General features: G+C 48.3%; 1 pseudogene across 1 annotated transcript in view, besides 10 other annotated features; it reads left to right on the plus strand.

The window, feature by feature from the left end:
* Positions 7,158–7,717: an enhancer, noted in NCBI's record as "H3K4me1 hESC enhancer chr16:21358615-21359174 (GRCh37/hg19 assembly coordinates)". NCBI's record gives its function as "activates a minimal SCP1, AML or CMV promoter by ChIP-STARR-seq in primed H9 embryonic stem cells {active_cell/tissue: H9 hESC(primed)}" and the evidence as "EXISTENCE:reporter gene assay evidence [ECO:0000049][PMID:30033119]".
* Positions 8,870–9,677: an enhancer, noted in NCBI's record as "H3K4me1 hESC enhancer chr16:21360327-21361134 (GRCh37/hg19 assembly coordinates)". NCBI's record gives its function as "activates a minimal SCP1, AML or CMV promoter by ChIP-STARR-seq in primed H9 embryonic stem cells {active_cell/tissue: H9 hESC(primed)}" and the evidence as "EXISTENCE:reporter gene assay evidence [ECO:0000049][PMID:30033119]".
* The window catches only part of SNX29P1 (sorting nexin 29 pseudogene 1), a 36,571-nt pseudogene continuing 18,301 nt past the window's right edge, over positions 9,227–27,496 (plus strand). Inside the window, exons 1-2 of the transcript NR_045011.1 lie at positions 9,227–9,294; positions 11,964–12,002. The product of NR_045011.1 is annotated as a sorting nexin 29 pseudogene 1 (transcript). The remainder of the gene's footprint in view (positions 9,295–11,963; positions 12,003–27,496) is intronic.
* Positions 9,678–10,483: an enhancer, noted in NCBI's record as "H3K4me1 hESC enhancer chr16:21361135-21361940 (GRCh37/hg19 assembly coordinates)". NCBI's record gives its function as "activates a minimal SCP1, AML or CMV promoter by ChIP-STARR-seq in naive H9 embryonic stem cells {active_cell/tissue: H9 hESC(naive)}" and the evidence as "EXISTENCE:reporter gene assay evidence [ECO:0000049][PMID:30033119]".
* Positions 10,038–10,202: a silencer, noted in NCBI's record as "fragment chr16:21361495-21361659 (GRCh37/hg19 assembly coordinates)". NCBI's record gives its function as "represses an EF-1alpha promoter that drives an FKBP-Casp9 reporter gene in an ReSE screen in HepG2 liver carcinoma cells and phorbol 12-myristate 13-acetate-treated (for megakaryocytic differentiation) K562 erythroleukemia cells {active_cell/tissue: HepG2 | K562(+PMA)}" and the evidence as "EXISTENCE:reporter gene assay evidence [ECO:0000049][PMID:32094911]".
* Positions 14,043–14,543: an enhancer, noted in NCBI's record as "H3K4me1 hESC enhancer chr16:21365500-21366000 (GRCh37/hg19 assembly coordinates)". NCBI's record gives its function as "activates a minimal SCP1, AML or CMV promoter by ChIP-STARR-seq in primed H9 embryonic stem cells {active_cell/tissue: H9 hESC(primed)}" and the evidence as "EXISTENCE:reporter gene assay evidence [ECO:0000049][PMID:30033119]".
* Positions 19,325–19,964: an enhancer, noted in NCBI's record as "H3K27ac-H3K4me1 hESC enhancer chr16:21370782-21371421 (GRCh37/hg19 assembly coordinates)". NCBI's record gives its function as "activates a minimal SCP1, AML or CMV promoter by ChIP-STARR-seq in naive H9 embryonic stem cells {active_cell/tissue: H9 hESC(naive)}" and the evidence as "EXISTENCE:reporter gene assay evidence [ECO:0000049][PMID:30033119]".
* Positions 19,472–19,766: a silencer, noted in NCBI's record as "tiled region #150; K562 Repressive non-DNase unmatched - State 21:Repr". NCBI's record gives its function as "represses a minimal TATA promoter and a strong SV40 promoter by Sharpr-MPRA in K562 cells {active_cell/tissue: K562}" and the evidence as "EXISTENCE:reporter gene assay evidence [ECO:0000049][PMID:27701403]".
* Positions 19,601–19,700: an enhancer, noted in NCBI's record as "active region_10554". NCBI's record gives its function as "activates an Ori minimal core promoter by ATAC-STARR-seq in GM12878 lymphoblastoid cells {active_cell/tissue: GM12878}" and the evidence as "EXISTENCE:reporter gene assay evidence [ECO:0000049][PMID:35858748]".
* Positions 19,965–20,603: an enhancer, noted in NCBI's record as "H3K27ac-H3K4me1 hESC enhancer chr16:21371422-21372060 (GRCh37/hg19 assembly coordinates)". NCBI's record gives its function as "activates a minimal SCP1, AML or CMV promoter by ChIP-STARR-seq in naive H9 embryonic stem cells {active_cell/tissue: H9 hESC(naive)}" and the evidence as "EXISTENCE:reporter gene assay evidence [ECO:0000049][PMID:30033119]".
* Positions 20,331–20,400: a silencer, noted in NCBI's record as "silent region_7251". NCBI's record gives its function as "represses an Ori minimal core promoter by ATAC-STARR-seq in GM12878 lymphoblastoid cells {active_cell/tissue: GM12878}" and the evidence as "EXISTENCE:reporter gene assay evidence [ECO:0000049][PMID:35858748]".

Consider the following 27,496-nt stretch of genomic DNA (forward strand, 5'->3'; position numbering starts at 1 on the left):
GATGCCTGCCCACATTGGGGAGGACCATCTGCTTTACTGAGTCCACTGATTCAAATGCTTATCTCATTTGGCAACCTCCTCACAGACACACCCAGAAATAATGTTTAATCTGTATACTCCATGGAGAGTCAAGTTGGCACATAAAATGAACCACCATAAGAAGACATGCAGAGAACAATGAAAATTAACAAAGCATAGTGTACACATTTAAAAAAAAAAAAATGGATTAAGATATTCCAGGTCGAGGCCGGGCGCGGTGGCTCATGCCTGTAATCCCAGCACTTTGGGAGGCCGAGGCGGGCAGATCACGAGGTCAGGAAATCGAGACCATCCTGGCTAACATGGTGAAACCTCGTCTCTACTAAAAATACAAAAAAAATTAGCCAGGCATGGTGGCGGGCGCCTGTAGTCCCAGCTACTCGGGAGGCTGAGGCAGGAGAATGGCGTGAACCCGGGAGGCGGAGCTTGCAGTGAGCCGAGATCACGCCACTGCACTCCAGCCTGGGGGACAGAGCGAGACAACATCAAAAAAAAAAAAAAAAAAAAAAAGATATTGCAGGTTGAGATAGGCCTGGAAATGCTATGCTTCAATCAAGGTAGGTTTGTGAAGGATTTGAAGATGGGAATGAATAGGAAGTCAAGTCAGTGGATGCAGCTATACATTCATTCATTTGTTAACATTTTTGGATATCTGTGACTGGGCATGGTGGCTCACACTTGTAATCCCAGCACTTTGGGAGGCTGAGGTGGGTGGATCACTTGAGGTCAGGACTTCGATACCAACCTGGCCAGCATGGTGAAACTCCGTCTCTATTGAAAATACAAAAATTAGCCATGTGTGGTGGTGGGCACCTGTAATCCCAGTTACTCAGGAGGCTGAGGCAGGAGAGTCACCTGAACCTGGGAGGTGGAGGTTGCAGTGACCCGAGATCGTGCCACTGCACTCCAGCCTGGGCAACAGAGTAAGAGTCCGTCTCAAAAAAAAAAAAAAGAAAAATGTGGATATCTGAACTTGTACCATGTCTAATATACAAAGACCAAGAAAAATCATTTCTTTTCCCATTGAGGGCTCACATGCAAAGTGTTTTATGAATTTACAGCCTCACTAGAAGGAGATGAGAATTCCTCATGCTCCATATTCTTGCCAATATTTAGAATTGCCAAGCTTTTAATTGTGCCAAATTAGGGATATGAAATGTTATCGCATAGCAATTTAAATCTACATTTCCCAATTGTTAATGAAGCTGTGTGTTACTAATATGAGTCATGTGTGTCTCCTCTTCTGTAACTGTTAGCGCATTCTGATTTTTTATAGTTATTGAAATTTTCTGACAATATTTTTACTTAAAGTCTATTTTGTCTGATATTCATATAACCACCCTGATCTCTTTTTGTTATTTTCATGGAGTATCTTTTTCCATCCTTTCACTTTCAACCAGTTTGTATATTTGAATCATTTTTAAAAAATCCATTCTGCCACCCTTGCCTTTTATTGAAGATAATAATACAGAACATTGGCCGGGCGTGGTGGCTCACACCTGTAATCCCAGCAGTTTGGGAGGCTGAGGCAGACACATCACAAGGTCAGGAGTTCGAGACCAGCCTGACCAACATGGTGAAACCCTGTCTTTACTAAAAATACAAAAATTAGCTGGGCGTGGTGATACGTGCCTGAAATCCCAGCTATTCAGGAGGCTGAGGCAGAAGAACTGCTTGAACCTGGGAGGCAGAGGTTGCAGTGAGCCAAGATCGTGCCACTGCATTCCAACCTGGGTGACAGAGCGAGACTCCATCTCAAAAAAAAAAAAAAAAATACAGAACTGACATCTGCCGTTTTGGTATTTGTTTTATATATGTCATATCTTTTTTCTCTCATAGCTTCCATTTTGAGTCCCATCTAATTTCCTTTTCTGTATATTTTCTAGTTCTTCTCTGAGGGGATAATTTGGATTTTACAATTAGTATCTTAAACAATTTAATTTGGGTTAATAACAATTTAGCTTTAATACTATACAAAAGCTCTTCTGTCAAGCTTCAGCCCCTCTTTGTGTTGGTATTTTTGCAAATTACATCTTTATATTGTGTGCCTATTAACATGTTTATCATTATTTTATGCATTTATCTTTTAAATCATATAGAAGGAAAAAGAAACCATTATCATAACACTGGCTTTTATATCTGCCTATGTAGTTACCTTCACTGGAGCTCTTTATTTTTTCATGTGACTTCATGTTACCATCTAATGTCCTTTCATTCAGCTGAAAGAACTATATTATAGGGCAGGTGTATTAGCAAATTTTCTTAGCTTTTGCTAATCTGGCAATTTCTAATATCTCCTAATTTTTTTTTTTTTTTTTTTTTTTTGAGACAGAGTCTTGCTATGTTGCTGAGGCTGGAGTACAGTGGCCTTTCTACTACAATGAGGAATTCTGCCTTGGGACTTGAGAGAGGTAGCAGTCCTAGGGTGTGGGTTAGGGGCATTCACTGAAATACCATGTAGCAGCGTAACCTGTGGCTATTGAAATGTGGCTGTAGGAATATTGCTCATGACTTGACTTCTGCTCTTGAATATTCATAGCTGGGCAGCAGAGAGCGATGTGAGGACTATACTTATGGCATGATACCATTTTTATTGCAAATATATAGGTATATGTGGAAGTTGATTAAAAATTTATGTGTGATCATTTTTACAGTGCCTATCTCTAGGTAGTAGGATAATTTTTATTTTTCCCTTTGTCTTTTATTGTAGTTTCTCAGTTATTTCCAATAAGCACTGCATTAATTTTATAGTTGTAAAAAATGTTGTTTAAAAGTCAGGGAGCCCAGGCGTGGTGGCTCATGCCTGTAATCCCAGCACTTTGGGAGGCTGAGGCAAACTGATCACCTGAGGTCAGCAGTTCGAGATCAGCCTGGACAACATGGTGAAACCCCGTCTCTACTAAAAATACAAAACTTAGCCAGGTGTGGTGGCACATGCCTCTAATCCCAGCTACTTGGGAGGCTGAGGCAGGAGAATTGCTTGAATCCAGGAGGTAGAGGTTGCAGTGAGCTGAGATTATGCCACCGCACTGTAGCCTGGGTGACAGAGCGAGACTATATCTCAAAAAAAAAAAAAAAAAAAAAAAAAGCCGGGTGCTGTGGCTCACATGTGTAATCCCAGCACTTTGGGAGGCCAAGGTGGGCAGATCAAGAGGTCAGGAGATCGAGACCATCCTGGCTAACACGGTAAAACCCCATCTCTACTAAAAATGTCAAAAAAATTAGCCGGGCGTGATGGCGGGCGCCTGTAGTCCCAGCTACTCGGGGGGCTGAGGCAGGAGAATGGCGTGAACCTGGGAGGCGGAGCTTACAGTGAGCCTAGATCACGCCACTGCACTCCAGCCTGGGCTACAGAGCAAGACTCTGTCTCAAAAAAAAAAAAAAAAAAAAAAAAAAAAGTCAAGGAGAGGAGATTTCTGTCAGGCACAATTTCTGTCAGGCACAGTAGCAGGAACCAGATTGAATTCTCTTGCCATTGAAATCTGGACAAAAATCTGTGAATCGGCTGTCCTAAGACATTAGACAAGCAACAGCACAGGACCGTGATCCTGAGAGAAGGAACATGAGAGGAGGGGACAGGGAGATGCCAGGCAGAGATAGCTACATCACTGCATGGAGGAGATGGGTTGGAGTTGAGAGAGGCTGAGGCAGCAGAAAGTTGTGGAATCAAGTTCTTAAGAGCAGAGGGTTACACGGGGACCTTCTTGGGTGTTTGGGGGATTCCAAGGCAGGCATGAGCTCAATGGCTCCTAAGCTCACCCCAGGCTGGGTGGTGGTTGGATTCCCACTAGCCAGAGTCCTCAGTGATCAGTCACTGCACTAGCTGGCCATGCCTACTGGCAGGCTAAACTGTCCCTAGAATAAAGGCAGAGCTTAAGAGAGCCTGAGAAAGATCACATTAAATCACAAGTAACAACACTTTTAAAAGAAAGACAGCAAAACCTAGACACCCAACAAAGTAAAATTCACAATCTCCGGTATCTAGTCCAGAGTACCAGGAAGCAGGAGATTGTGACCTATGATCAGAAAATCAGTAAATAGGAAGGGACCCTGTCTGGAATTAACTGACCAGGACATTGAAATCTATTAAAATTACATTCAGGAATTTAAAGGAAAAAAGGAACATAGCAAGGAGAGAAATAGAAGACATAAAAAAGAACCGTATGGAACTCCTAGACTCGAAGAGCGAGGAGAGTTGCTGCCAGGCTTGCCTTCCATGTGTTTCGGGTACGTGCATTTGGTAAGGTTAGCGGTCTGCTTCATCCAATGGGGAATCAAAACCCAAGTTAAATGACTTGCCAGGACCTTAGTGAGCAAGAAGCTGCTGTTATATAACCTGACGACTGCCAGATATGTTGGCCTGCGTCATTAGGATACCAGAATCTTGAAAGGGTAAATTTAATGAGCTGAAATTTCATAGCTGGAAATGTAGACTCAGAACATTTGCACAGTAGTAGACGGTGGTGTAACATTGTGTGAAGCCGAGTGTTTTGCTGGCTGCGCTGGTGTGCAGGAGCTTCCTCGGAGCCCTTGTGGTTGGAAGGTGCACTCTGTAGCACACCCATTCTTAGCTTGTCTACCCTGTGGCCCCAGTGGAGCGTTTTGGAGCTGCTGGGAGGAGCTGTCCAGGGACAGACTGTCATGGTGGCAGTGGGCTGGAAACTGTTGTCTTTGGGGAAACGGTTAGAAATTGAGATTTCACAAGGTTTGATAATGGTTAGATGCCTGGAGAAGCAGCACATAAGTGAAGAATTAGGCTGGTTTTGTAGGTGCTAAGAGGGTCAGTGGAGGAACAGCAGCTCCGCGGAGGTGGGCTTCAGCCCAGCTGGGATTTTGTCATTTTCTTCCTGGGGTGCACAAGGCTTGCTCGAGGACCTGTGGTGGTGAGTGCTCTGTAACTGCTCAGGCGGACAGGAAACCGCCGTGGAGCACGCAGCACTGCCTGGCGGTGGTTGCTTTGGGACATGACCCATCACTGGAGGTGCTCAGGTGGAGTCAGGGTCTTTGGCTGGAGCCAAGCTCTCCACATGCAGCATGCAGGTGGGCATGTTGAATCTCCTTTGAATCTCATGAATTTGAGATTCTGATTTAGTGTAGCTAGGCAATTTCTAGCATATTGCAAGTATCAACATTCTGTTATGTGGCTGGGCACAGTGGCTTACACCTATAATCCCAGCATTTTGGGAGGCCAAGGCAGGCGGATCATTTGAGGTCAGGAGTTCAAAACCAGCCTGGCCAACCTGGTGAAATCCCTTCTCTACAAAAAAATACAAAAAAAAAATTAGCCCAGCATGATGGTGGGTGCCTGTAATCCCAGCTACTTGGAAGGCTGAGGCAGGAGAATCGCTTGAACTTGAGAGGCGGAAGTTGCAGTGAGCCAAGGTCACACCACTACACTCCAGCCTGGGTGACAGAGCAAGACTCTGTCTCAAAAAAAAAAAAAAACCAACATTTTATTGTTACTTTAAAAAATGTATTCAGTGGAATCTATGTACTATGGCAATTTAATACCTACCATTAGCTATTGGTAAAAAATACATGGAAAGCTTTTCTCTCCCCTTCCCCTCTCCGCCCCTCCCCTTCCCCCTCTCCGCCCCTCCCCCTCCCCCTCTCCGCCCCTCCCCCTCCCCTCCCTCCTCCCCTCCCCCCTCCTTCCTTCCTCTCTCTTGCCCTCCCCTCTCTTGCCCCTCCCCGTCCCTTCCCCCGCTCACTCTGTTGCCTGGAGCTAAGTGCCATGGTGCCATCTCAGCTCACTGTAATCGCCTACTCCCAGGTTCAAGTGATTCTCCTACTTCAGCCTCCCAAGTAGTTGGGACTACAGATGCGTGCCGCCACACCTGGCTAATTTTTGTATTTTTAGTAGAGACAGGGTTCACCATGTTGGTCAAGCTGGTCTCGCACTCCTGACCTGAAGTGATCTTGCCTGCCTTGGCCTCCCAAAGTACTGGGATTACAAGCGTGAGCCACCACGCCTGGCCCGCTTCTCTTTAATAATCAGAAATTTTATGTCTTTCATTTTTCTCCTTTCATTCATATCAACATTCTACTTCTCTCACAGAATTTCATCTTTCTGCTTCCCTCCCCTGTCCCCTCGAGATGGAGTCTTGCTCTGTTGCCCAGGCTGGAGTGTAGTGGTGCCATTTTGACTCATTACAACCTCCGCCTCCCAGGTTTAAGTGATTCTCCTGCCTCAGCCTCCTGAGTGCCTGGGATTACAGACCCCCACCACCACACCTGTCTAATTTTTGTATTTTTAATAGAGATGGGGTTTCACCATGTTGGCCAGGCTGGTCTTGAACTCGTGACCTCAGGTGATCTGGCTGCCTTGGCCTCACAAAGTGCTGGGATTACAGGTGTGAGCCACCGTGCCCAGACTACATTTTTATGCTTAAAAGCTTTTTAAAATTAGTCATTATAATTCTCTGCAACAAAACTACGTGTATACAATGAAAATTAAAGTTTTTCTGTGCTCTTAATATTCTAAGAGTTTAAGAAAATTATGATTGAGACATCATTACAGTGAAAATTAATACACAGTACATCAAAGCAAATGTATCTCATTTTGATTAAACACAGCAAGTAAAATTTGTTGGAAATGTATCTTTAAGTGCGTGGATGAGACTTTTGCTCTATTAGTTTAATTACCCATGGACAAATATTGCCAGCCTGAAACAGCTTTTAATGTCCACTTTAAGAACTTCATTCATTTAAATAAGTTGGGACTAAAAGGGGTTTTGTCATAGCAGCATCACGCCACTCTCAGGCCCTTCTGCATTCCATGTCGGAAACCTCAGTTCCTAAGACTCACTCGTAGTGATCTCTGCAGAAGAGTGGAGATGCAGTGAGCCGAGGAAAAATGAAGCATTTCCTCTTCTCTGCTGTGGGAGTCGAGAGTGAGGGACGGGGGTGCACACATGCTGCACAAGGCAATGCCTAAGAAACTTCTCGTTCACCCCGTTCACACCTGTTGCCCCCACAGAGCCGATGATGAGCACCCCACCTCCTGCCAGAGAGCTCCTGCAGCCACAGCCGCAGCCGCAGGCCCTGCACTACGCGCTGGCCAACGTGCAGCAGGTGCAGATCCACCAGATCGGAGAAGACGGACAGGTGCAAGTAGTACGTACCCTCTCCACCTCGCACCTTGGGAAAGGGGGCTGCGGGGTGGGCCACGGCAGGGCCCTGGCGGCTTCCACCAGTTCCGCTGTGTTTCGGGAGCACAGTGATAGCTTGGGAGGAGGCACAAGGTTCCCATTTAAAGTAGAGGTCATCATGGCCATGAGCTCTTAACATTTCACAGGTGGGGGCGGCTGCTGCAGAGCCTAGGGATTGAAGCACATGGTGGGGTGGGGCGTTCAGTCAGCTCACCTCAGTCCTGCCAGCAGGCAGGCGGGCAGTCAGCTCCAAGGGTCAGGCTGTGCAGTGGTCCCTGCCCCAGCTCGTGCTCCTGGGAAGCATCGGAAATATTTCTCAGCTCAGAAGTGCAGGCGTCCTCTTACTGAGGGAAAGAGTAATTTCCTTCTAGGATCAGTGGCAAAAGCTTGAGGTCATTGTTCCCATGCAGCGTTTCCCTTGGAGTTACTCAGCACACCCAGGTTGGGCGGGCACTGTCCCAGCAGCAAGTCAATGTCCTGCCTTGCCCATGCGGAGTTCTCTGTTGGGGTTTTGTGACCCAAGCTGTGGTCAGTCTGATGCGCCTAGGGGCTCGCTCCCGGGTGAAGTCCCTCTACAAACACCTCCTGGATTCTGTGGCACGAGAGTAGGGGGCGGCTGAGAAGAAGACTTTTCTGGAAGCTTTGCTGAGTGACTAGAAATTTTACATGCACCACTAGACATCGCCTATGTTTTTAGTGGCACCAGCCCCCTTGGGCCCTCTGAAGACAGGTCATCGTGTGCCTCCGTGTTACCAGGGCTTTCTCCTGGAAACAAGGTCCTCCACTGTTGAGAGTGGGTCGTGGCTCTCATCTCAGTGTGGCTTCAGCGTGCTGTCTGGAAGAGGGAAGGCTTCCAGAAAATTCTGGGGCTTTTAGAGGGGGCATTACCCTTCCTCTTCCAAAGGAGATGAGACAGTTATGAATAGTGAATCTTATTTAATAAGCTTATTAATTTATTTGACATTCACAATGGCAGTTCCTCTCATCTTGTTAGTAAGAAGTTCTTTGAAAGCGTTCCAGAGTAGATAACTTTGTCATAAGGCTTACATAGAACATTCTACAGGAGTTTAAGATCCATTTCGACTAAGAGAGAATTTCAAATAAGATAAGTATTCATTTCATTTACAGGTTTATAGGAAATATTTGTCTGCCCATATGTATAAACAGTGGATTCTTTGATTTTTTTTGAATCACATTTGTTAGTGTTTCCTCAAACTGTTTAAATAGTCATATGAGTGTTTCTTTGATTTGAAAAATGTTGCCTGCCCTGTTGTGAGTGTAGGCACGCAAACAGCTCCCCTGCTTCAGCCATACACTGCTTGCGTAGCCTCCCAGCATCCCCAGAGAGCTGAACGTATCATTTGAAAAGAGGTGTCATTGTGATTTTCTATTTCCCCTCTTTTCTGTGTGTCATGCACATTTTAAAATTTACTTGTTTAGTAACATTTAAAGATGTATATATCTTTCCTGGGACCTATTGCTCCTTTGTGAAGTACTGGAACATGTTCTGTGTTACACAGTACCCCCCCTTACCCATGCTTCCACTTTCCTAGGTTTTAATTACCCATAGTCAACTGTGATCTGAAAATATTAGATGAGAAACTCCAGAAATAAACAATTTGTAAGTTTCAGATTGCATACTCTTCTGGGTAGTAGCATGATGAAGTCTGATCGTCCTGCTGTGTCCAGCCTGGGACGTGAGTCATTCCTTTGTCCAGCATGTCCAAGCTGTGTGGCACGTATGGGCAGGAAAAAGCATAGCATATACGGGGTTCCGCACCATCCACGGTTTCTGACGTCCACGTGGTGGGGGGAGGGGGCGCTTCTTGAAACCCTCATGGATGAGGGGGACTACTGTGAACCAAAAGCTTAATTTAAAGAGGTGACCACAGACTATATTGCACTATTCAGGATTTAGTTATCTTTTTGAATTGTAAACAGATAATCAAGAACAAACATTCCGGAAGATGTTTCTTGTTTCCTTTGCTTTTTATTTTCTTCTGATGCTTCTTGGTGTCTTTTCTTGCTGCGGATCCCACAGGGACACCTCCACATCGCCAAGGTGCCGCAGGGGGAGCAAGTCCAGATCACGCAGGACAGCGAGGTGAGTCATCTCTCGCTGCAGCCCTGTCCCTGCAGGCACTGTGCCCGCATGCTCCTGACCTTCATCGGTGTCACAGTGCGAGGGCAGCAGGGAGCCCCCAGGATGGGGAACATGGGCGAGGGCTGCAGGACTCCGCTTCCAGGGTGCACATAGCAGGCCTGCAGTCTCTGTGGCCTCACTGCCTCCCCCTCCTGTCCGTTGGTCTCCACAGCTTCTGGTCTGTCTTGGCAAAGATCTCCTGGGTAGATGTTTCTGCTTCTGGCTCGAAGTGCCCTCTGAGTACCCTTCTCTCCCTGTCTGGCCCTGCCCTTCCTGCCAGGGGAGGGCCCCAGTGTGGCCGAGATGGGGTCTGCCCCTGCACAGGTGACCTGACATACCCCCTCACCTGCCATGTGGCCCCAGCTTCCTGGTGGCCTCTACGGGATTAGTGCCGATTTCATAGGATGGTGGGGAATCCCACAAGGTGATGCTGCCAGTCCTGAGAGCTGGTCATAGCCCTGACGCACCTGCCATGTCTGTGATTGTCTCAGTTTCTGGAGCTCTACCCAGCCACGCGCTCAGAAGTGCGGGCTCAGCTGCTGTTGGGGTCTGGAATGTGAAGGCGGGAGTGACAGTCTGAGTTCTTGGAAAGCCGAGGCCGGCCGGTTGCGATGCTCCGTGTTTGCGTGCCAGAGCAGGACTGTCTTCCGGGTGGCTGGTGACCATCCTTCGACTCTGGGCTGTTTCCTGCAGCACAGGCAGCAGCAGGCACAGGGCAGTAAGCAGCGCACACGTGCTGTACTGAGTGACCGTGGTGCGCTCTGGGGGATGAGGAACATGGCTGTTTCTAGGTCGTGCCAATGGCACCAGCTTTGTGTTTGGTGTATAGTAGTGTATCGCTACGAAGATCTCAGGCTTCCCCACACACACCAGCAGCAGAGACTAGGAAGCCCGGGTGCTGAGGTCAAGGGGACTCATGGAGATGTTGGCGTGCGAGGGCTCCCGGGAGCTCATGCTGGGTGCAGGTGCTGTGGGGGAGCAGAGGAGAGAGAAGCCCTGCCATCGGGGACTCATAGCGGGCGCAGAGCCTCCTGCCCAAGTGCCCATGAGCAAGACTGTGGACACATGCATGCCGTGGCACGTGGAGCACCAGGGACTTGGGCGTGTCTGCTGGCAGTGGCTTTAATTTGGACACCAGCAGTTCCCAGTGGGTTATTCTGAGAGGGGAGCACATGCATAAGGGTTCCGGGGCGGAATGAGGAAGAGGTGAAAGGGGAGGAATGAATTCATATGGGGGCCATGAGCGACTGGGAATGAGTGGGCTCATCCACACAGCGACATGACCAGGTCACTAAGAAACATATGGTCAGATGGATGGATGGAAGGAAGCACCAGGGCGGGGAGCAGGTAGGGGACGGTCCCAGGAGGCCAGAGTGTCCAGGAAGGGGCAGGGCCTGGTTCTGTGTCTGTGGGTGGGCCAGGGACCATCTCCCTGGAGATGTCGGGAGATGCGCCTGTCAGCTCAGCAAGGTCAGGTGCAGGAGTTGGGGGCCTGAGTGGCTGCGAGGTGCAGGATCCCAGCAGCACCTTCCAGTGCAGGAGCTGCCTTTGAGGGGCAGGGGAAGGTTGGCTTCTCAAGGCACAGACAGGTGGGGGCTGGGAGGCTAAGCTCACTGCCAGAGACCTCAGCCAGAGTTCTTGAATACCTGGAAGCCTATGAAGTTCGTCGGAATGCTTAATTTCCTTAGAGTCATTGAAAATGCAGGAAAATTGAAACGGCAGCAAAAGAAAAAAATCAACACACATTTGCTTTTTATAGTTTATGCTAAAAAATCTTGACTACTGGAATTTCAATTTTTTATTATTAGTTTTATCCTTCAGTTTTCAAAACTGAATCCATCTTGTATAGGTGATTGTCTTTCATTTTCATTAGGAATTGAATGCAGTAAGTTAGAAATTGCTAATAATACTAACGATGGCTTTGTGATAAGTGACAGTATGCAGTCTCCTCACCATAAATTCATACCATGTTCATTTAAAATTATTTTGTTAAAACAGGATATCTGCAAATAAACATTTAGCAGGGTCTAACAGACATAAAACAGTTCCTTTTTACAACAAATGAAAATGAATTTCTAACTGGAGAGCTCTTAGTAGCTCTGTGGTTGAGTGAGTTGGTTCCTTGCGTGCAGCCCGTGACCTGGCGTGGTGATGCCGCACAGCTCAGCAAGGCGTCCCCCTTTGGGGAAGCTGGGTGACATGCACATAGCACCTCTCTCTGCTACTTTCTGTACTTTTTGTGAGTCAGATTCTTTCAAAATAAAAAATGAAGTAAAAATGACATTTTCATTTGGGGTCAGGGTGGGGGAATGGGTACAGTGCTTTTTGAGTTGTTTGTTCATCTTTAAAATAATAAATAGTACCTAGAAATCTAAATATTTTGTTTTGGGGCTTTTGTTGCTACTGGAGGTTGAATTTTTGCAGAACTAGTGTTTTTCTTGTTATTCTCAAGTGGCCTGTGATGTGTCTTGGCGTGTTTGCCGTGTCTGCGGGTGTCTTGGCGTGTTTGCCGTGTCTGCGGGTGTCTTGGTGTGTTTGCCGTGTCTGCGGGTGTCTTGGCGTGTTTGCCGTGTCTGCGGGTGTCTTGGTGTGTTTCTACTCATGACCGTTCCTCCTCTCGTTCTTTGTAGGGCAACCTCCAGATCCATCACGTGGGGCAGGATGGTCAGGTGAGTGTCCCAGTCCCCATGCACATGCGGGCATTGCGCTGCCAAGGGGTGGGGTTCTCAGGGGAGGGGGTGGGACGGTCAGGTGAGTGCCCTGGTCCCCATGTACATGTGGGCATTGTGCTGCCGAGGGGTGGGGCTCTCATGGGAAGGGGGCGGATGGTCAGGTGAGTGCCACAGTCCCCCTCTCACATATAGGCCATTGTGCTGCCAAGGAATGGGGGCTCTCATGGGAGGAAGCGAGGGTGCAAAGGCCTCTCAGTGTGAGCCCCAGAGCAGGACTGGCTTTCCTCACCATGGCAATGCACAGGCCTGGAAGGGGGAGGGCGGGGCTTGGGGGTTACATTTGCTGCTCTGTAGGATTTCAGCAGCTTTTGCATTATGGCGGAAACATGCCCTCCCACCCCCACCACCCCACCCCCTTCAGATGGTTATTTTCTGCACACGCATGCGTATGTTGATGGTGGTCATATCTGCACAGATAACTCTGTTAGAAAAAGGTGGTTTCGCTCCTGTGTATTGCCATCAAACTCACAAACTTGCCTGCTTTCTAATCCTTGACAAAAAGAGTGACCATTGGTTGAACACCCCAGTACGAATGGTCTTTACAAAATGATGTGCTCCGACGGTGCGGGTCCTGGGGAGGGTGTTGCTGTGCAGGACAGAGTCAACTCTCTGGTGGTTTTGAGGCTGTGTGTTCCTAGGTCCTGGTGAAGACCCTTTCTGTTCAGGAGATGGCTGTCACCTCTGGATCATTGAAGAATCTGGGTGATCTTCCCATTTCATAAAACAGAAGCTGGGAAGTTGACAGTGAGAACCATAAACAGAACTCACTGTGTAGAAAGATAATACTAATTTTTCAAAACCACAGCACACTGTCCTTCGAGAAACCTGCATGTGTTCCCTTTGTCAAGGCCAGGCCCTGCAGATCTCTGACCCGACTGAGCCTGGGGCACCCCCAGAGTGAGGTGCTTAACACAGAGGGGGACAGAAGGGCATGTGCTCCCGTGGGCTTTCCGTTGACCCCTCAGAGGCACCTTGGGAGAAGGGCTGCAGACCCTCCAAAACTGGTTTATGTCAGAGTTTCTTAGTTGGAAAGTTTCATCTTAAAGATCAGCACGAGGTTTTCTCAGGTAGTCCTGCAGCATCGCTCGTCTGTAAGTATGAAATTGCTGCTCTGGAAAAGAGCCAAAGGAATGCGCAGCTTTTAAATCCACAGTTGTGGCTTTGCGCTCACTCCACTGGGGTAATGAGGCTGCGGTCGGCGCAGTGCAGGTCAGTTCTCCGCGCCTTTGTCCCCCGTGGTTCTCACGGTCACGGGGGCAGCAGAGGACAGGGCTCATAGCTGGCGGTCCGTCTTAGTTTTCTGCAACATAGTGGTTTATGGTTCTGCTGGTAGTGGAACTGTATCATAGTTGAAACGCTGCTGGACGTTTAATTCCTAGGAAAAGTAAGGCACGTCACCTTCGATATTCCCTTGTTCCTGTCTCTACCCCTGAACAAAATCCACTTGGAATTTTAAAGATAGAACCAGGCTTTTACACTGTATCACTGCAGTGCTTCTGTTTGTGATTGTAGACAGAATTCTCCCAACTCTACTGTGGGGACAGAGATTCCAGCTTTTCTCAGCAGGCATGGAGGCCCATTGGCTCCAGCACAGATCTGAGTTCAGGAAGGACTCAGGGCTGATGTCGGAGGAGTTGCTGTCTGGATTTCTCTGAACAAGATTCCGTTCTGGTGTCTCTCGTTCCTCCGTCACTGCTGCCGCCCCACGTGCCTTTGCACTGCAAGCAGGGTCGCAACTGCTGCTCATTCCCGCCTCTTCCGTGGCCCCTCCGAGTTCCCACTGTCTCTAAGTGGCCTCACCGCAGAATGAATAAAGCTGCCGTACTACCACTTTTTATGTGAAACAAATAATAATTTATAAATCACCTTTTTTTTTTCCCCTTGTGAACTCTCATACGCTCCTGATTCCTATTATCGGTCACATTTCTGGGACCTCAAATCAAAGACGGCTTCAGGAGAGGCCGGTGCTGCACTCAGGGTAACGGGCGGAATCTTGGTACACGGTCCCTGCTTCTCTTGGGAAGGAAACTGCTGTGTGATTTAAAGAAACCGCTGTGTTCAACTGAAGCTGCCTTTTCTGGTAAATCTGTGTAGTGAACCCCCTCATTTTCCATTTGTGGAAATTCTTTTTTTTTCCCATCATTTGGCCAGTTCTCATTCCTGCTGAGCTACACCCTGCTCATGCAGGCTTTGTCCTCCGGGCTGGCCACACGTTTGGGAGACAGAAGGATGTTTCAGAAAGCACAGAGAAGCCCACTCACCTCGATGTTGTTGACTGGGCTAAGAAGCCCCAAGCCGTGGTGGGGGTCACACAGCCCATTCGCTCTCCTCCCCGTCCCCATTGCCTACAGAAGCCCCGAGCAGTGCGGGGGACACACGGCCCATTCGCTCTCCTCCCCGTCCCCGTGCCTACAGAAGCCCTGAGCTGTGGGGGCGGTCACATGGCCCATTCACTCTCCTCCCCATCCCCATTGCCTACAGAAGCCCCGAGCAGTGCGGGGGACACACGGCCCATTCCCTCTCCTCCCCACCCCCATGCCCACAGGAGGATAGTGCATGCAGGTCTAGGGCTCTCTCTTCTCCAGCCAGACTTGATCTCAGAAGCATCCTTCATGTGACACTGCAGATGGCTCAGCTCCCCGTCCTGTCCCAGAGGCCCTTGGCCTGCCCTGGTGTGAGCACTGGCTTGATTGACGGGAGACCCTGCAGCCCACGCTTGTTCCAGGTAGTTGGGGGAAGGCGAGGAACAGCACCCCAACTGGAGTAAGAGAACACAAAGAAATGGACGCGGCTGCTTTAAGTTCCTAGATCACTGAGGATTGGCTTAGTATTCCCTTCTGATTCCCTAGTTCCAACTGTCATTTAGGAGTGGTTATGTGGCAGTAGACTCAGAATCTGACAGAGCAGCTAGAAATCCTCTTGGGAGGGTGGCCAGGCCTCCCCTCTTCCGGCCGTCCGTTTTCCATCCTGGGGCTGGGGCCTGTGCCCTGCGCCCTGCACCCCACATCCTGCACACCACCCCCTTTCCTTGTGCTGGGCTCACACTTGTTGCTGTTCTCCTCCTATTCCACTTCTGAGATGATTGTTGCTATTACTTCTTGTAGTTAATTGATTATTTTCAGAATTAGTGGACAGCTTCTCTGAAAATAGCCTCCATTCTTAGTTCCACGGAGGGAGGGATGTGCGCTGTGCTTGTGGATTGCTGCTGGGGCGACGGGTTTGAGGCCACGTCTGCGGCCAGCAGCAATGTCAGTTCCAGGAGGACCTTGGTGGCTGCGGTGCTGGGAAGTGCCATTGTGCTGCGTTGGTGTGACCCTGTGGCACCTGCTGCCAGGGGACCATTCTTTTTGAGTCATGTTTTCTTCAAATTAAATATTGAGAGATTCTAGTCACATCCCACAGTTGCCATTTGCTGTCTGAGTAGAAAATATGAAGAATCGCCTGATTTGAAGCTATGTGGTCAGTTTCATGTCCATAGCAGCCTTGCTTTTCTTCCTTGCTGAGAGATGGAATGCCCCGTCTCACGCTCTTTCTGCCATTATGTCTCTGTCTGCTCTGATACTGAGGTTCCAGGAGGGCTGCCTTGGCCTCCTTTCCCTGTAGCCCACGACCCCCGCATTCTCTGGCTTCTTTGCCGACAGTTGTGGTGTGCGCTTACATCTGGTGCTGGGTTGCAGGCAGGGTGGGACTCACAGCTGTTCGTTGACTCTGGGAGGGCTCCCCTGGCTGAGGCTGTCTGCTGACAGGTGCTCTTCAGGTGAGCGTGAGCCTGCACTAAGGAATGCTGATTAGAGTCCATTTCAGGCCCTGTTGGGCACACTGGGAGTGCGCAAGAGCCACAGAGCCTGAGAGACACAGTAGGAGGGTGGGAGATGCAGTAGGAGGGTGAGAGATGCAGTAGGAGCATGGGAGATGCAGTAGGAGGGTGGGAGACACAGTAGGAGGGTGAGAGACACAGTAGGAGGGGTCGGGAGAGCCACCTGCACCAAGGCCTCAGGACAGCGAATGGCACAGCCATGGGGAGGGTGACTGCCTGTGCAAGGCTGGAGGCCATGGGCACCCAGGTCCAGTGAGGTCGGATGGAGCCCCCGGTGCTCAGCCTCCTGTGACCAGTGTTGGGGGGTAGCAGTAGCGGATGGTGCATCCCAAATGTGGGCAAGAAGTTTGGAAAGATTGGTGGAGCACCAGAGGCTTCATAAAGAGCCATTTGGGAAGACAAGGTTCAGGGGATGGTGGTGGGTGCACATGTGTGGGGACGCACTGGCTGCATGGTGCCCGCTTCCTCTTCCCCGAGCCGTGCTCTCCAGCGCTGTGTCTCAGCCTCCCCTCCAGGAGCGCTCACTTCCTCTCAGCTCTGGGCCCCTGTGGCCTCTGCTTTGCCAGCTGCCCAGCCGTGATGACTAGTTTCCACTCCAGTGCTATCTCTGTCTTTATTGTTCTTTTTGACCTCTAGGTGCACATGCTGTCGTGCCCCAGTGTTCCAGCATCGCTGACTGGGAGAGGGAAGAAGAGGTGAGGGAGAGGGAAGAAGAGGTGAAGGGCTTTCTTAGAACACTGACATTGAAATTGCAGCTGAATCTTTAAAAAAAAAATGTTTTGTGCTGGCTCACATCTGTAATCCCAGTACTTTGGGGAGGCAGAGGTGGGAGGATCGCTTGAGCCCAGGAGTTTGATGCCAGCCTGGGCAACATAGCAAGACCCTGTCTCTACAGAAAAAAAAAAAATTAGCCACATCTGGTGGCATGCACTTGTAGTCCCAAGCTACTCATGAGGCTGAGGCAGGAGGATTGCTTGAGCCCAGGAGACCCAGGCTGCGGTGAGCCATGATTGTGCCACTGCATTCCAGCCTGGGCAACAGAGCAAGACCCTGTCTCAAAATAAATGAAGTGTACAATTCAATGGTTTTTCAAAAAATTAAAATACTTAAAAAATTATTTGGAACCACTTTGGCTGGTTTCAAAGGTTGTGTATTATCTTTCCTCCTGAATAACAACTTTACATAAGAACAAGCATTCAGTTCACTGTGGGAGGTGCCTAAGTGAGAGTCTCAGTCTCGGGCTTTGTAGAGCTGAGCCCCTGTGTGTGTGTGGACGTGTGCTGCCCTCCTCGCCTCCTGCCCTCCACCGCGTCCTCATCATGCACCTAATCTGCTGCCTTCCAGGGAAGCCAAACAGCCACTGCTGTTGGAGTTGAAATTAAAATGCAGTGGCTGGTTCTGGTCATGGCTCCAGGCATGGGTAGCTCCTTCGGGTGAGCTGTGTAGAGCTGAGCCTGGGTCTTTGGCTGTTTAGATGCATTTGTGGCTGTGTTCTGGGTGCTTCTTCGTTGAGAGTGGAGTTGTGGAGAAATGGCTCCTTCATCAGCTGAATACACTGTGCTGATTTCTTTTGTCCCTGCCTCACTGGGGGTGTGAGGCATCCGGGCAGCATTTTCCTTTACTGGACAATCCCCTAGTGTTGGCTTTGTTGCTCAGTGAGTATTTGAAATTAATTATTTGCTGCCCTGGGCATGAAGATCAAATGATATCATAGCAGAAATTCGGAATGATTTAAGTAGAGGTGTTATTGTATTGCCCATATGGTTAACTTAAGGGATTGCAGAATTGGTTTGAGTAGAGGACAGGCCTTGTATGGTAAATTAGACCAGAATCAGGGGCATCTGGAATTCCCTGAAATTCCCTGGAGCAGGGAGAGGCAGTCTGGTGTGCCAGCGATTCACAGAGCGAGAGAGTACGTTCAGACAGATGGTGCCAGGAGTGTAAAATAATTTATTGTCTAAGGAATTTCAATTTTCAGTTAGTGGTAAGGATAATAGAATCTTTAATTTGGTGCAGATTTTCAGAAGATTCTGAAAAACAAAAAAAGCCCTTAAAAATTAAGAGTTGTAAGGATTGAAATTTGCAGGGAGGTGGATGACTTTATTTTTGAGTGCATTTTAAATGAAAATTGATGGGTTTTTTATGAGGTCATGGGAACTTTTGCATGAGGTGGATAGACCAGTTGGCCACTTCAGGGGGCTGGCAGGGGAACCGCTGGTTGGTCATACCCGCATCTTGGTGCAGCTGCTTTGCTGCCGTGGGTACCCTGAGCCAGTGCTGCGTGACCTGGGCAGACTCCCTATAAAGGTGAACTCGCATTCTGCGGCGATGCTGCCTCTGGAGTGATGAGTGCACGCGAGCTGCATGGCTGGACTCTACCAGCATCTGCGCAAGCCACAGCAGGAAGCAGCTTTCCATCGCGGTTCTAGAACCCTCCTCTCTCACTCATGCGTGTGCACACACACAGTCGGAACAGGTCCACAGGACAACAGGCCACAGCGAGAAGGCAGCTTTCCATTGTGGTTCCAGAGCCCTCCTCCCTCACTCACGTGTGTGCACTTACACGGTCCGAACAGGTCCACAGAATGGTATTACTGTGTGCTGATTGCACTAATATTTTTTATTCTGTTTTCTGTTCTGCTTTTCTGTTTCTCTTCCTTTTTGTCTCTTTGAAAACTGGCTATGACACATTGCATTGATTTTGCAACCCACACTTTGAAAAATACTGGAATAGATGATCGCTAATGTCTCTTTCGTAAGAGTTTGTAGTTCTAAAAGTTGTAATTGAGTAGCTGGGACTATAGGTGTGCACCACTGCATCTGTGTAATTAAGTAATTTTTAAAAATTTACAACTATATAGGCCGGGCACGGTGGCTCACGCCTGTAATCCCAGCACTTTGGGAGGCCGAAGTGGGTGGATCACGAGGTCAGGAGATCGAGACCATGCTGGCTAACACAGTGAAACCCCATCTCTACTAAAAATACAAAAAATTAGCTGGGCATGGTGGCGGGCGCCTGTAGTCCCAGCTACTCGGAAGGCTGAGGCAGGAGAATGGCTTGAACCCGGGAGGCAGAGCTTGCAGTGAGCTGAGATCGCGGCACTGCACTCCAGCCTGGGCGACAGAGCGAGACTCCCTCTCAAAAAAAAAAAAATTTACAACTATATAAAGTTTACACTGCAAATATTAATATTCTTCCTCTCATATTTTGATAAATCAAAAGATAATTGTTCTTGAATTGGGAAGCTTTTTAAAAAATCACATTCAATCTAAGAAAAATGATTATAAATGTGCTAGTTAAAAAAATGTTTAGCGTGCTTCTCAGGGCTTTTCATCTAGATCAGGAAAATTAGGATTATCCGTGTCACTTGGGCATTAGAGTGAAGTTTCCCTGCTTTTCATCTAGATCAGGAAAATTAGGATTATCCGTGTCACTTGGGCATTAGAATGAAGTTTTCCTGAGAACTGCAGTCAGGTTTTTGGCATGGCTGGCCTTCTGTTGGTCATATGTTAGGCATGGAATGGAAGATGGCTCGATGTTTGCTGCGGCTGTCCATGCCCCTCTACGCCATCCACAAGCCTCTGACCGAGTTATCCGTGCATGCATTTGAGCGTTTCTTGCAGGAGAGGCCGGGGCCAAAGGAACGCTTCAGTTGCGCTGGGCTGTGCCAAGGGGCCTCAGCAGGAGCAACCCTTGGGGGCCAGAGCCCAGGCTCTTCCAGCAACAGGAAGGACCTTTCTTCCCTCTGCAGCACCTGTCGAACAAAACATGCTGGACTCCCTCATTCATTCCCGGCAGAGAAGCACTCCCCTCACCCCCCACAGAGCCCTGCTATGCCGGGCACTCAGACCAGCCAGAGGTGGGGGAGCCTGTGAGTAAAGTGGAGAATTGGAGGTGTGGTGCCACCCTGACCACAGCACCTTTCTTCTCCCTGAGGCCACCTCCTCAAATACTCTTCTTGGCCACAGATGAGGGCCCAGCTGTGGTTGGCAGATCTTTTGGGAGATAACTGGATGTGTGGGGGTGGGAGAGTTGCCATGGGTCCCAGTCTCAGGGCGGCCGCTCCCTCAGTGTCTGTCGTCTTGGGATGCGGCAGTGTCGCTTCCTCGTGCTTCAGTGCCCTCTTCACTGCGGTGGGGTGGCAGCAGCACCTGCTCAGGAAGTTGGTGGGCTTTGCTGGGTGCACACGGCCCACGTGGCACTCACCAGCCTCTGGGCTGCCCTTGGCAGGTGCCGTCCACACTCCAGCACTCAGGGAGGGGCGGTGCAAATCCTCAAAAACTGACCACACAGGCACTGGCACCCAGGTGGTGAGTAGGCAGGCTGTGGTCTGCAGACAGAAGCTTTACCCTGTATACGTACGAGGAGTAACAGCTGCTCATTTGAGTGAAGTCACTGGACTGCGGCCCTTAGAGCCTCCTGACGCGGAGGTGGGCCTTTCACTTCTGCCTTTTGCATGTGTGGAATGTGTGTGTGTGTGTGTGTGTGTGTGTGTGTGTGTGTGTGATTTTAGAGATACTGTTTTAAAACTGTGTACTCAAAGCATTAGTTAATTAACTAGGAAGTTTTGTCTTGTGAAAATGATGACCAGGACTGAACCTTTTAAAACAGATCATCTGAACCTCATCGCTGTAAAGCAATCTGGACTACAAAGTTCATTCTTTCACGTGAATTAAATGGTTTGGTAAAGAAATACTGAGCGTAACATGGACGTGCTCTAGTGATCTTAGGGAGCTGTGAGCTCGTGCAGTCTTGGGTGGGAGTTGGCATTGTTTATGTTCTTTTTTAAATTTTTTAAAAATGTTTTTAATTTTTATATTTTTGAGATGGAGTCTTGCTCTGTTGCCCAGCCTGGAGTGCAATGGCACCTTCTTGGCTCAATGCAACCTCCGCTTCCTGGGTTCAGGTGATTCTCCTGCCTCAGCCTCCCGAGTAGCTGGGATTACAGGTGCCCACCACCATGCCCGGCTAATTTGTGTATTTTTAGTAGAGACAGGTTTCACCATGTTGGCCAGGCTGGTCTCGAACTCCTGACCTTGTGATCTGCTCACTTCGGCCTTCCAAAGTGCTGGGATTATAGGTGTGAGCCACTGTGCCTGGCCTTGGTACTTGTGATATTTTGATACATGCCTAGAATGTGTAATGACTTTGAACAGATGTTTGCTTTTTTTTTTTCTTTCTTTGAGCAGTCTCCCGGGGCTAGGGTAAGTTCAGAGAGGCTCCTAGATCTTTGTTTCTTGTTTATTTCACCAGTTACTCATTTTCAGAAATGAATCAAAGATCTAGGAGCCTGAGCCTACTCTAGCCCCCGGAGACTGCCCAAAGAAAGAAAAAAAGAAGCAAAGATCTGTTGAAAGTCATTACACATTCTAGGCATGTATCAAAGTACCACAGGTACCCTATAAATATGTACAAATATTATGTATCAATAAAATAATTTTAATAATTTTTTTTAAAAAAAAGATCTGTTGGAGCCAGGCATGGTGACTCACATTTAGAATTGCTTGAACCCGGGAGGCGGAGGTTGCAGTGAGCTGAGATCGTGCCACTGCACTCCAGCCTGGGTGACAGAGAGAGACTCCGTCTCACCAAAAAAAAAAAAAAAAAAAAAAAAAAGGATTCCTGTCCCTGTTGAATTTTCTGCCATGCTTCTGTGCTCCTTCAACAGCCAGGGACGGAGGGATCCAGTCTGAGAAAAGCCAGCATCAGGGACTACTTCAGTCCTCATAGAAATCACTGCCAATGGCTTTGGCTACCTCCTGTGTCCTGGATTATGTCTCTGCAGCTTCCCGTCTCCCGGACGCCTCCCTGAGTCCCTGTGTATGAGTGACTTAGTGTTACAGGCTGGGTGAGGAGCTTTGCAGGGATTTAGCTTTTCTCAGGGCCACCTGCCCTCAGGCTTCCTGGGCCCTCATACTTCTTCTTGTTTATATCTTATCTGCCTTTGGGGGAATGACCTTAGAGGAATTGGTGTGAGTAAGCCATGAGGTTCTTGGTCCACTTCCATCCAGCCAAGGGCAGCTGGCAGCTGGGCACTTACATCCAGCAAGGCAGAAGCAACCCTGGCTTTGAAGTCAGACTGCTAGGGTGAGTCTGAATGGCCTCGGGGAAAGTTCCCTCTGAGCCTTCGTTTTTTTCACTTGCGAAGGCGATAGTCTCGCCTAGCTTGAGGGTTTGTCAGGGGGATTCAGTGAGAACCTCATTTGAAGCAGCTGCTTTAGTTCCTAACACCTAATAAATGTTTAACCACTTACCCTCCTCTCCCACCACCCTTTCAACTTTGAACCTCTTCCTCCATGTCATCCCTTCTTAAGGCGCTGACCTTTTGGCCACAAAGAATGGCTCTTTTTGTTCCCATCAGGACTAGAATTCTTATCTTTTTGTTGCTTGGCCCTGGTAATCAAAGAACCACCAACACATTTGCAAGGCATCTCCAGCCTTCTCGTTCTGGCCGCCCCTCTCTGTCTTAGGGAGAGTGCTATACCGGTATGGTGATGAGATGAACGAAAGGGCAGTCTCTGGCTGTTTTCTGCTGATGAGGATGTGCTGAGCAGCCTCCTGCAAATGACAAGCAGGGAAAAGACCAAACTAGCTTAGCTCATTAGCTGGGCATGGTGGTGCCCGCTTGTAATTGCAGCTACTTGGGAGGCTGAGGCAGGAGAATTGTTTGAACCCGGGAGACTGAGGTTGCAGTGAGCTGAGATCGTGCCACTGCACTCCAGCCTGGGCGACAGAGCGAGATGCCATCTCAAAAAAAAAAAAAAAAAAAAAAAAAAAAAAAAAAAAAAGACAAGCTTGACTGCCTTTGTCTTACAGAACAAAGGACAGGAGATTCCACTTTACCCCCTCATTGTCACACCATATTCAGTTTTCTGTATATCCCACAAAGTAGCATGCTTTTTTGAAAGCAGGACACCGTGTTTACTTTCTCTTGACACCTAGCATAGTGTCTGCCACTACACAGGTTGTTCAATAAAATTATGTTCACTAAACAAATACATCTTGGTTGGAAGGAAGGGCATTATTCATTGCGTGCAGTACTGTATTTCATGGTTCCTGAGGTACCATATACCAGGATCACTACAGTTTGCTACAGGGAAAGTGATTAATTTTTAAGGAACAAAGCAAAAGTTAATGAAAAGCAACCCAGAGCTCTACACAGACTTGGCTTGCTGTCTTTGTAGCCACTGGAAACCCAAGTAGCCAGTACAGAATACAGTATGGAAAAATGAATTATTTTCCATTCCACTTGGGAAAGGAGAAAGAACCACTGTCGTTACTGGCGTTTGATGCATTTGATGGCATGACCTTGGAATTTGATTTTTTTTTTTTTTAGATGGAGCCTCACTCTGTTGCCCAGTCTGGAGTGCAGTGGCATGATCTCAGCTCACTGTGACCTCTGCCTCCCAGGTGCAAGTGGTTCTCCAGCCTCAGCCACCTGAGTAGCTGGGACTATAGCTGTGTGCCACCATGCCTGGCTAATTTTTGTATTTTTAGTAGCGATGGAGTTTCACCATGTTGGCCAGGCTGGTCTCGAACTCCTGACTTCAGGTAATCCGCCAACCTCGGCTTCCCAAAGTGCTGGGATTACAGGCATGAGCCGCCACGCCCGGCTGGAATTTGATGTTCTTTTAATCACTGATATATCATCATCAGGTTATGGATTGGCAGTCAATTACAAGGTGATCGGGGCCATTCAGAATATACCAGAGACACAGTTACTGTTGCTGAGCTGCCTGTAAAATTGAAGCCTAATCTTCCCTTTCTGTTGGGCAGCCTTGGGCATCGAGGATCTTCTGACTTTGAAACACTGGCTTCCCTTGCTTTCTGTGATGCCATAGCCTATTGGCACACTTTCTTCTTTTCTGATCCTTGTTGGCATATCACTTCCATACCCTCAAATATTATTCATCCTTGGATTCATTGTTGGCTCTTGTTTCTATGCATACTGTTTGGATTCCTTGGTGAAGTTGCTCTGTATGTGCCTGTCATTCTTAGTCATACCCACAGCCCGGAGCACTTCCTCAAACTCTGTCTCATGAATGTCTCTATTTGGTGTACAGCACGGGCTTGTCAGTCTCCAAAACTGAATTCTGATCTTCATCCATATGTGTTCCTGTGTTTCTTGCTTAGTAAATGGCTCTGCCCTTTACCCAGGTCCCCTGGACAGCTCTTGGGCTTCCTCCCAGCCTTCTCCTTCTCCCTTTCCTCTGCCCCAAAACCAGTCCCACAAAGAGCACTGTTTTCTGTCTCTCACATGGGTCCCTGAGCCACTCGCGTTTCCTCCATCATCAGTGAGTTCTCTTCTTTCTCCCCGACTTGTGTTTTCCTGCCTTCAGTCTTGATCAGCTCTGATGCACTTTGCATATCATGGAGTGGTCTTCTTTAATTACCATCCCACTCCCCCACTTATTCCCCGTAACCCACTAACTTAAAGCTCTTCCATGGGTCTCTTGTAGAATTGGGACAAAGTATCGAGTGCTTGATATGGCTTCTTGGGCTCTCTTCGGTGCTGGCTGTGTCTGTCTCTGTTCTACCTCTTATGCCGTGCCGTACGCCAGGGCTGACAGGCAGCGGCAGGTCCAACATCACAACTCTTTCATCCAGTTTGCAAATAAATGATGGCCTGAGTCCCACAAGCTCCCCTCCTGCCACACCCCTGCCTTGGGACTCTTGAGACCTCTCCATAATTCAGCAGCTAAAGCACTAATGCCAGATCCTGTGTGGGGCAGGGCCTTCAGTGCCACTGCCTGTGCTTTGCTTGGTGCCTCTCAGTAATTTAGATGATTCAGTTCTGTTTTTTTTGTTTGTTTGTTTGTTTTTTTTGAGACAGTGTCTTGCTCTGTTGCCCAGGCTAGAGTGCAGTGGTGCGATCTCGGCTCATTGTAGCCTCTGCCTTCTGGGTTCAAGTGATTCTCATGTCTTGGCCTCCTGAGTAGCTGGCACTACAGGTGTGTACCACCATGCTGCCTAATTTTTGTATTTTTGGCAGAGATGGGTTTTCCTCATGTTGGCTAGGCTGGTCTCGAACTCCTGGCCTCATGTGATCCACCTGCCTCAGCCTCCCAAAGTGCTGGGATTACAGGCGTTAGCCGCTGTTCCTGGCCCAATCCTGTATTTTGAACAGCTCTCCTGGTTTCTATTGTCTTGAAACTCTTCAAGTCTGGCAGTTCTTTCCCTTCTGCTACCTTCCTTCCTTCCCCAGCTCTCACCCAAGCTCCTACTGGCCAAACTTCTATTCTCTCTTAAAAAAAAATATGGCCGGGCATGGTGGCTCATGCCTGTAATCCCAGCACTTTGGGAGGCTGAGGCGGGTGGATCATGAGGTCAGGAGATTGAGACCATCCTAGCTAACACGGTGAAACCCATCTCTACTAAAAATACAAAAAATTAGCCGGGCGTGGTGGCGGGTGCCTATAGTCCCAGCTACTTGGGAGGCTGAGGCTGGAGAATGGCATGAACCCGGGAGGCGGAGCTTGCAGTGAGCCGAGATCGTGGCACTGCACTCCAGCCTGGGCAACAGAGTGAGACTCCATCTCAAAACAAAACAAAACAAAACGAACAAAAAAAACTGGTAAAATATACATAATGAAATTTACCATTTCAGCCATTTGAAGTGTACAATTCAGTGTGAGTGTACTTAATGTACATTCACATGTCATACAGTAATCATTACCACCATTCATCTCAGAACCTTTCCATTTTTACAAACTGAAACTGTGTACTCGTTAAACAGTAACACTCACTCCCTCCAGACCCCTGCCTCTGGCAGCCAGCATTCTACTTTCTGCCTCAGTGCATTCTACTACTTTAGGTTCCTTGTACCAATGGAATCATGCAATATTTGTTCTTTTTTTGTCTGGCTTTATTTAGCATAACATCTTCAAGGATCGTCCGTGTTGTAGTATGTGTCAGAATTTCCTTCTTCTTCTTTTTTTTGATGGAGCCTTGCTCTGTTGCCCAGTTTGCTAGAGTACAGTAAGTAGCGCTATCTCAGCTCACCACAACCTCTGCCTCCTGGGTTCAAGTGATTCTCCTGCCTCAGCCTCCCAAGTAGCTGGGACTATAGGCAGGCGCCACCATGCCCGGCTAATTTTTGTATTTTTAGTAGAGACGTGGTTTCACTATGTTGGCCAGGCTGGTCTCGAACCCCTGACCTCGTGATCCGCCTGCCTCGGCCTCCCAAAGTGCTGCAATTACAGGCATGAGCAACCGCGCCTGGCCCAGAATTTTCTTCCTTTTAAAGGCTGAACAATATTTTTGAGGGTATGTAGAGCCCATATTTTGTTTATTCCCATGACAGTTGGGTGTCTTCCACTTATGGGCTATTGCGAATGGTACTGCTGTGAATATGAAGATACAAATACTTGTTTTTTCCACTTTTAGTTCTTTTGGGGCATATACCCACAAGGACAGTGCTGGATCATATGGTAATTCTATGTTTAATTGTTTTTTAGAAACCATCAGAGGGTTTTCCATAGAGGCTATACCCTGTTGCATTCCCACTAGCAATGCACACGAGGTCCATTTTCTCCACCATCCTTCCACATCCTTGCCAACTCCACAGCCTTGCCAGTGCTGGCTTTTTATTTATTTTTTGAGATAGAATCTCGCTTTGTCACCCAGGCTGGAGTGCAGCAGTGTGATCTTGGCTCACTGCAGCCTCCACCTCCCAGGTTCAAGTGATTCTCCTGCCTCAGCTTCCCAAGTAGCTGGGATTACAGGCATGCGACACTGTGCCTGGCTAATTTTTGTATGTTTAGTAGAGGCAGGGTTTCACCATGTTGGCCAGGCTGGTCTTGAGCTCCTGGCCTCAAGTGATCTGCCTGCCTTGGCCTCCCAAAGTGCTGGGATTACAGGCGTGAGCCACTGTGCCCGGCCAATGCTGGCTTTTTAAATTAGAGAAAAGGTATACAGCTTTAATTGTATACATGGGGAGAACCAGAGAGTGATTACCACCCCCTTTTTTCATATATATATATATACACACACATATATACATATATATATATATGTATAGTAATTTTATTATTTTTTGTAGGGACAGTATCTTACTATCTTGCCCAGGCTGGTCTCGAATTCCTTGCCCTAAGTGATCCTCTCACCTTGGCCTCTCAAAGTGCTGGGATTACAGGCCTGAGTCACCGTGCCTGGCCTCCTTTTTTCTGTTTTCATAATTGCCATCTTAATGGGTGTGAAGTGGTGTCTCATGTGGTTTTGTTCTCTTCTCTCTTGAAGTTTCAGAATTGTTTTCAAAAAGCCATTCATGAGCTCCCTACATGGTTCAGCTGGACTGTGCCCCTCCTATAGTCCTGAGTTCTTCTTCCATCAAACCTATGTATGGAACTACTTGTTTTCTTTTTTCTTTTCTTTTTTTTTTTTTTTTTTTTTGAGATGGAGTCTGCTCTGTTGCCCATGCTGGAGTGCAGTGGCGCAATCTTGGCCCACTGCAGCCTATGCCTCCTGGGTTCAAGTGATTCTCCTGCTTCAGCCTCCTGAGTAGCTGCGATTACAGGTGCACATCACCATGCCTGGCTAAGTTTTATATTTTTAGTACAGACGGGGTTTCATCATATTGGGCAGGCTGGTCTCGAACTACTGACTTCGGGTGAT

The sequence above is a fragment of the Homo sapiens genome, chromosome 16 (assembly GCF_000001405.40).
Source record: "Homo sapiens chromosome 16, GRCh38.p14 Primary Assembly".
NCBI classification, from domain to species: domain Eukaryota; kingdom Metazoa; phylum Chordata; class Mammalia; order Primates; family Hominidae; genus Homo; species Homo sapiens.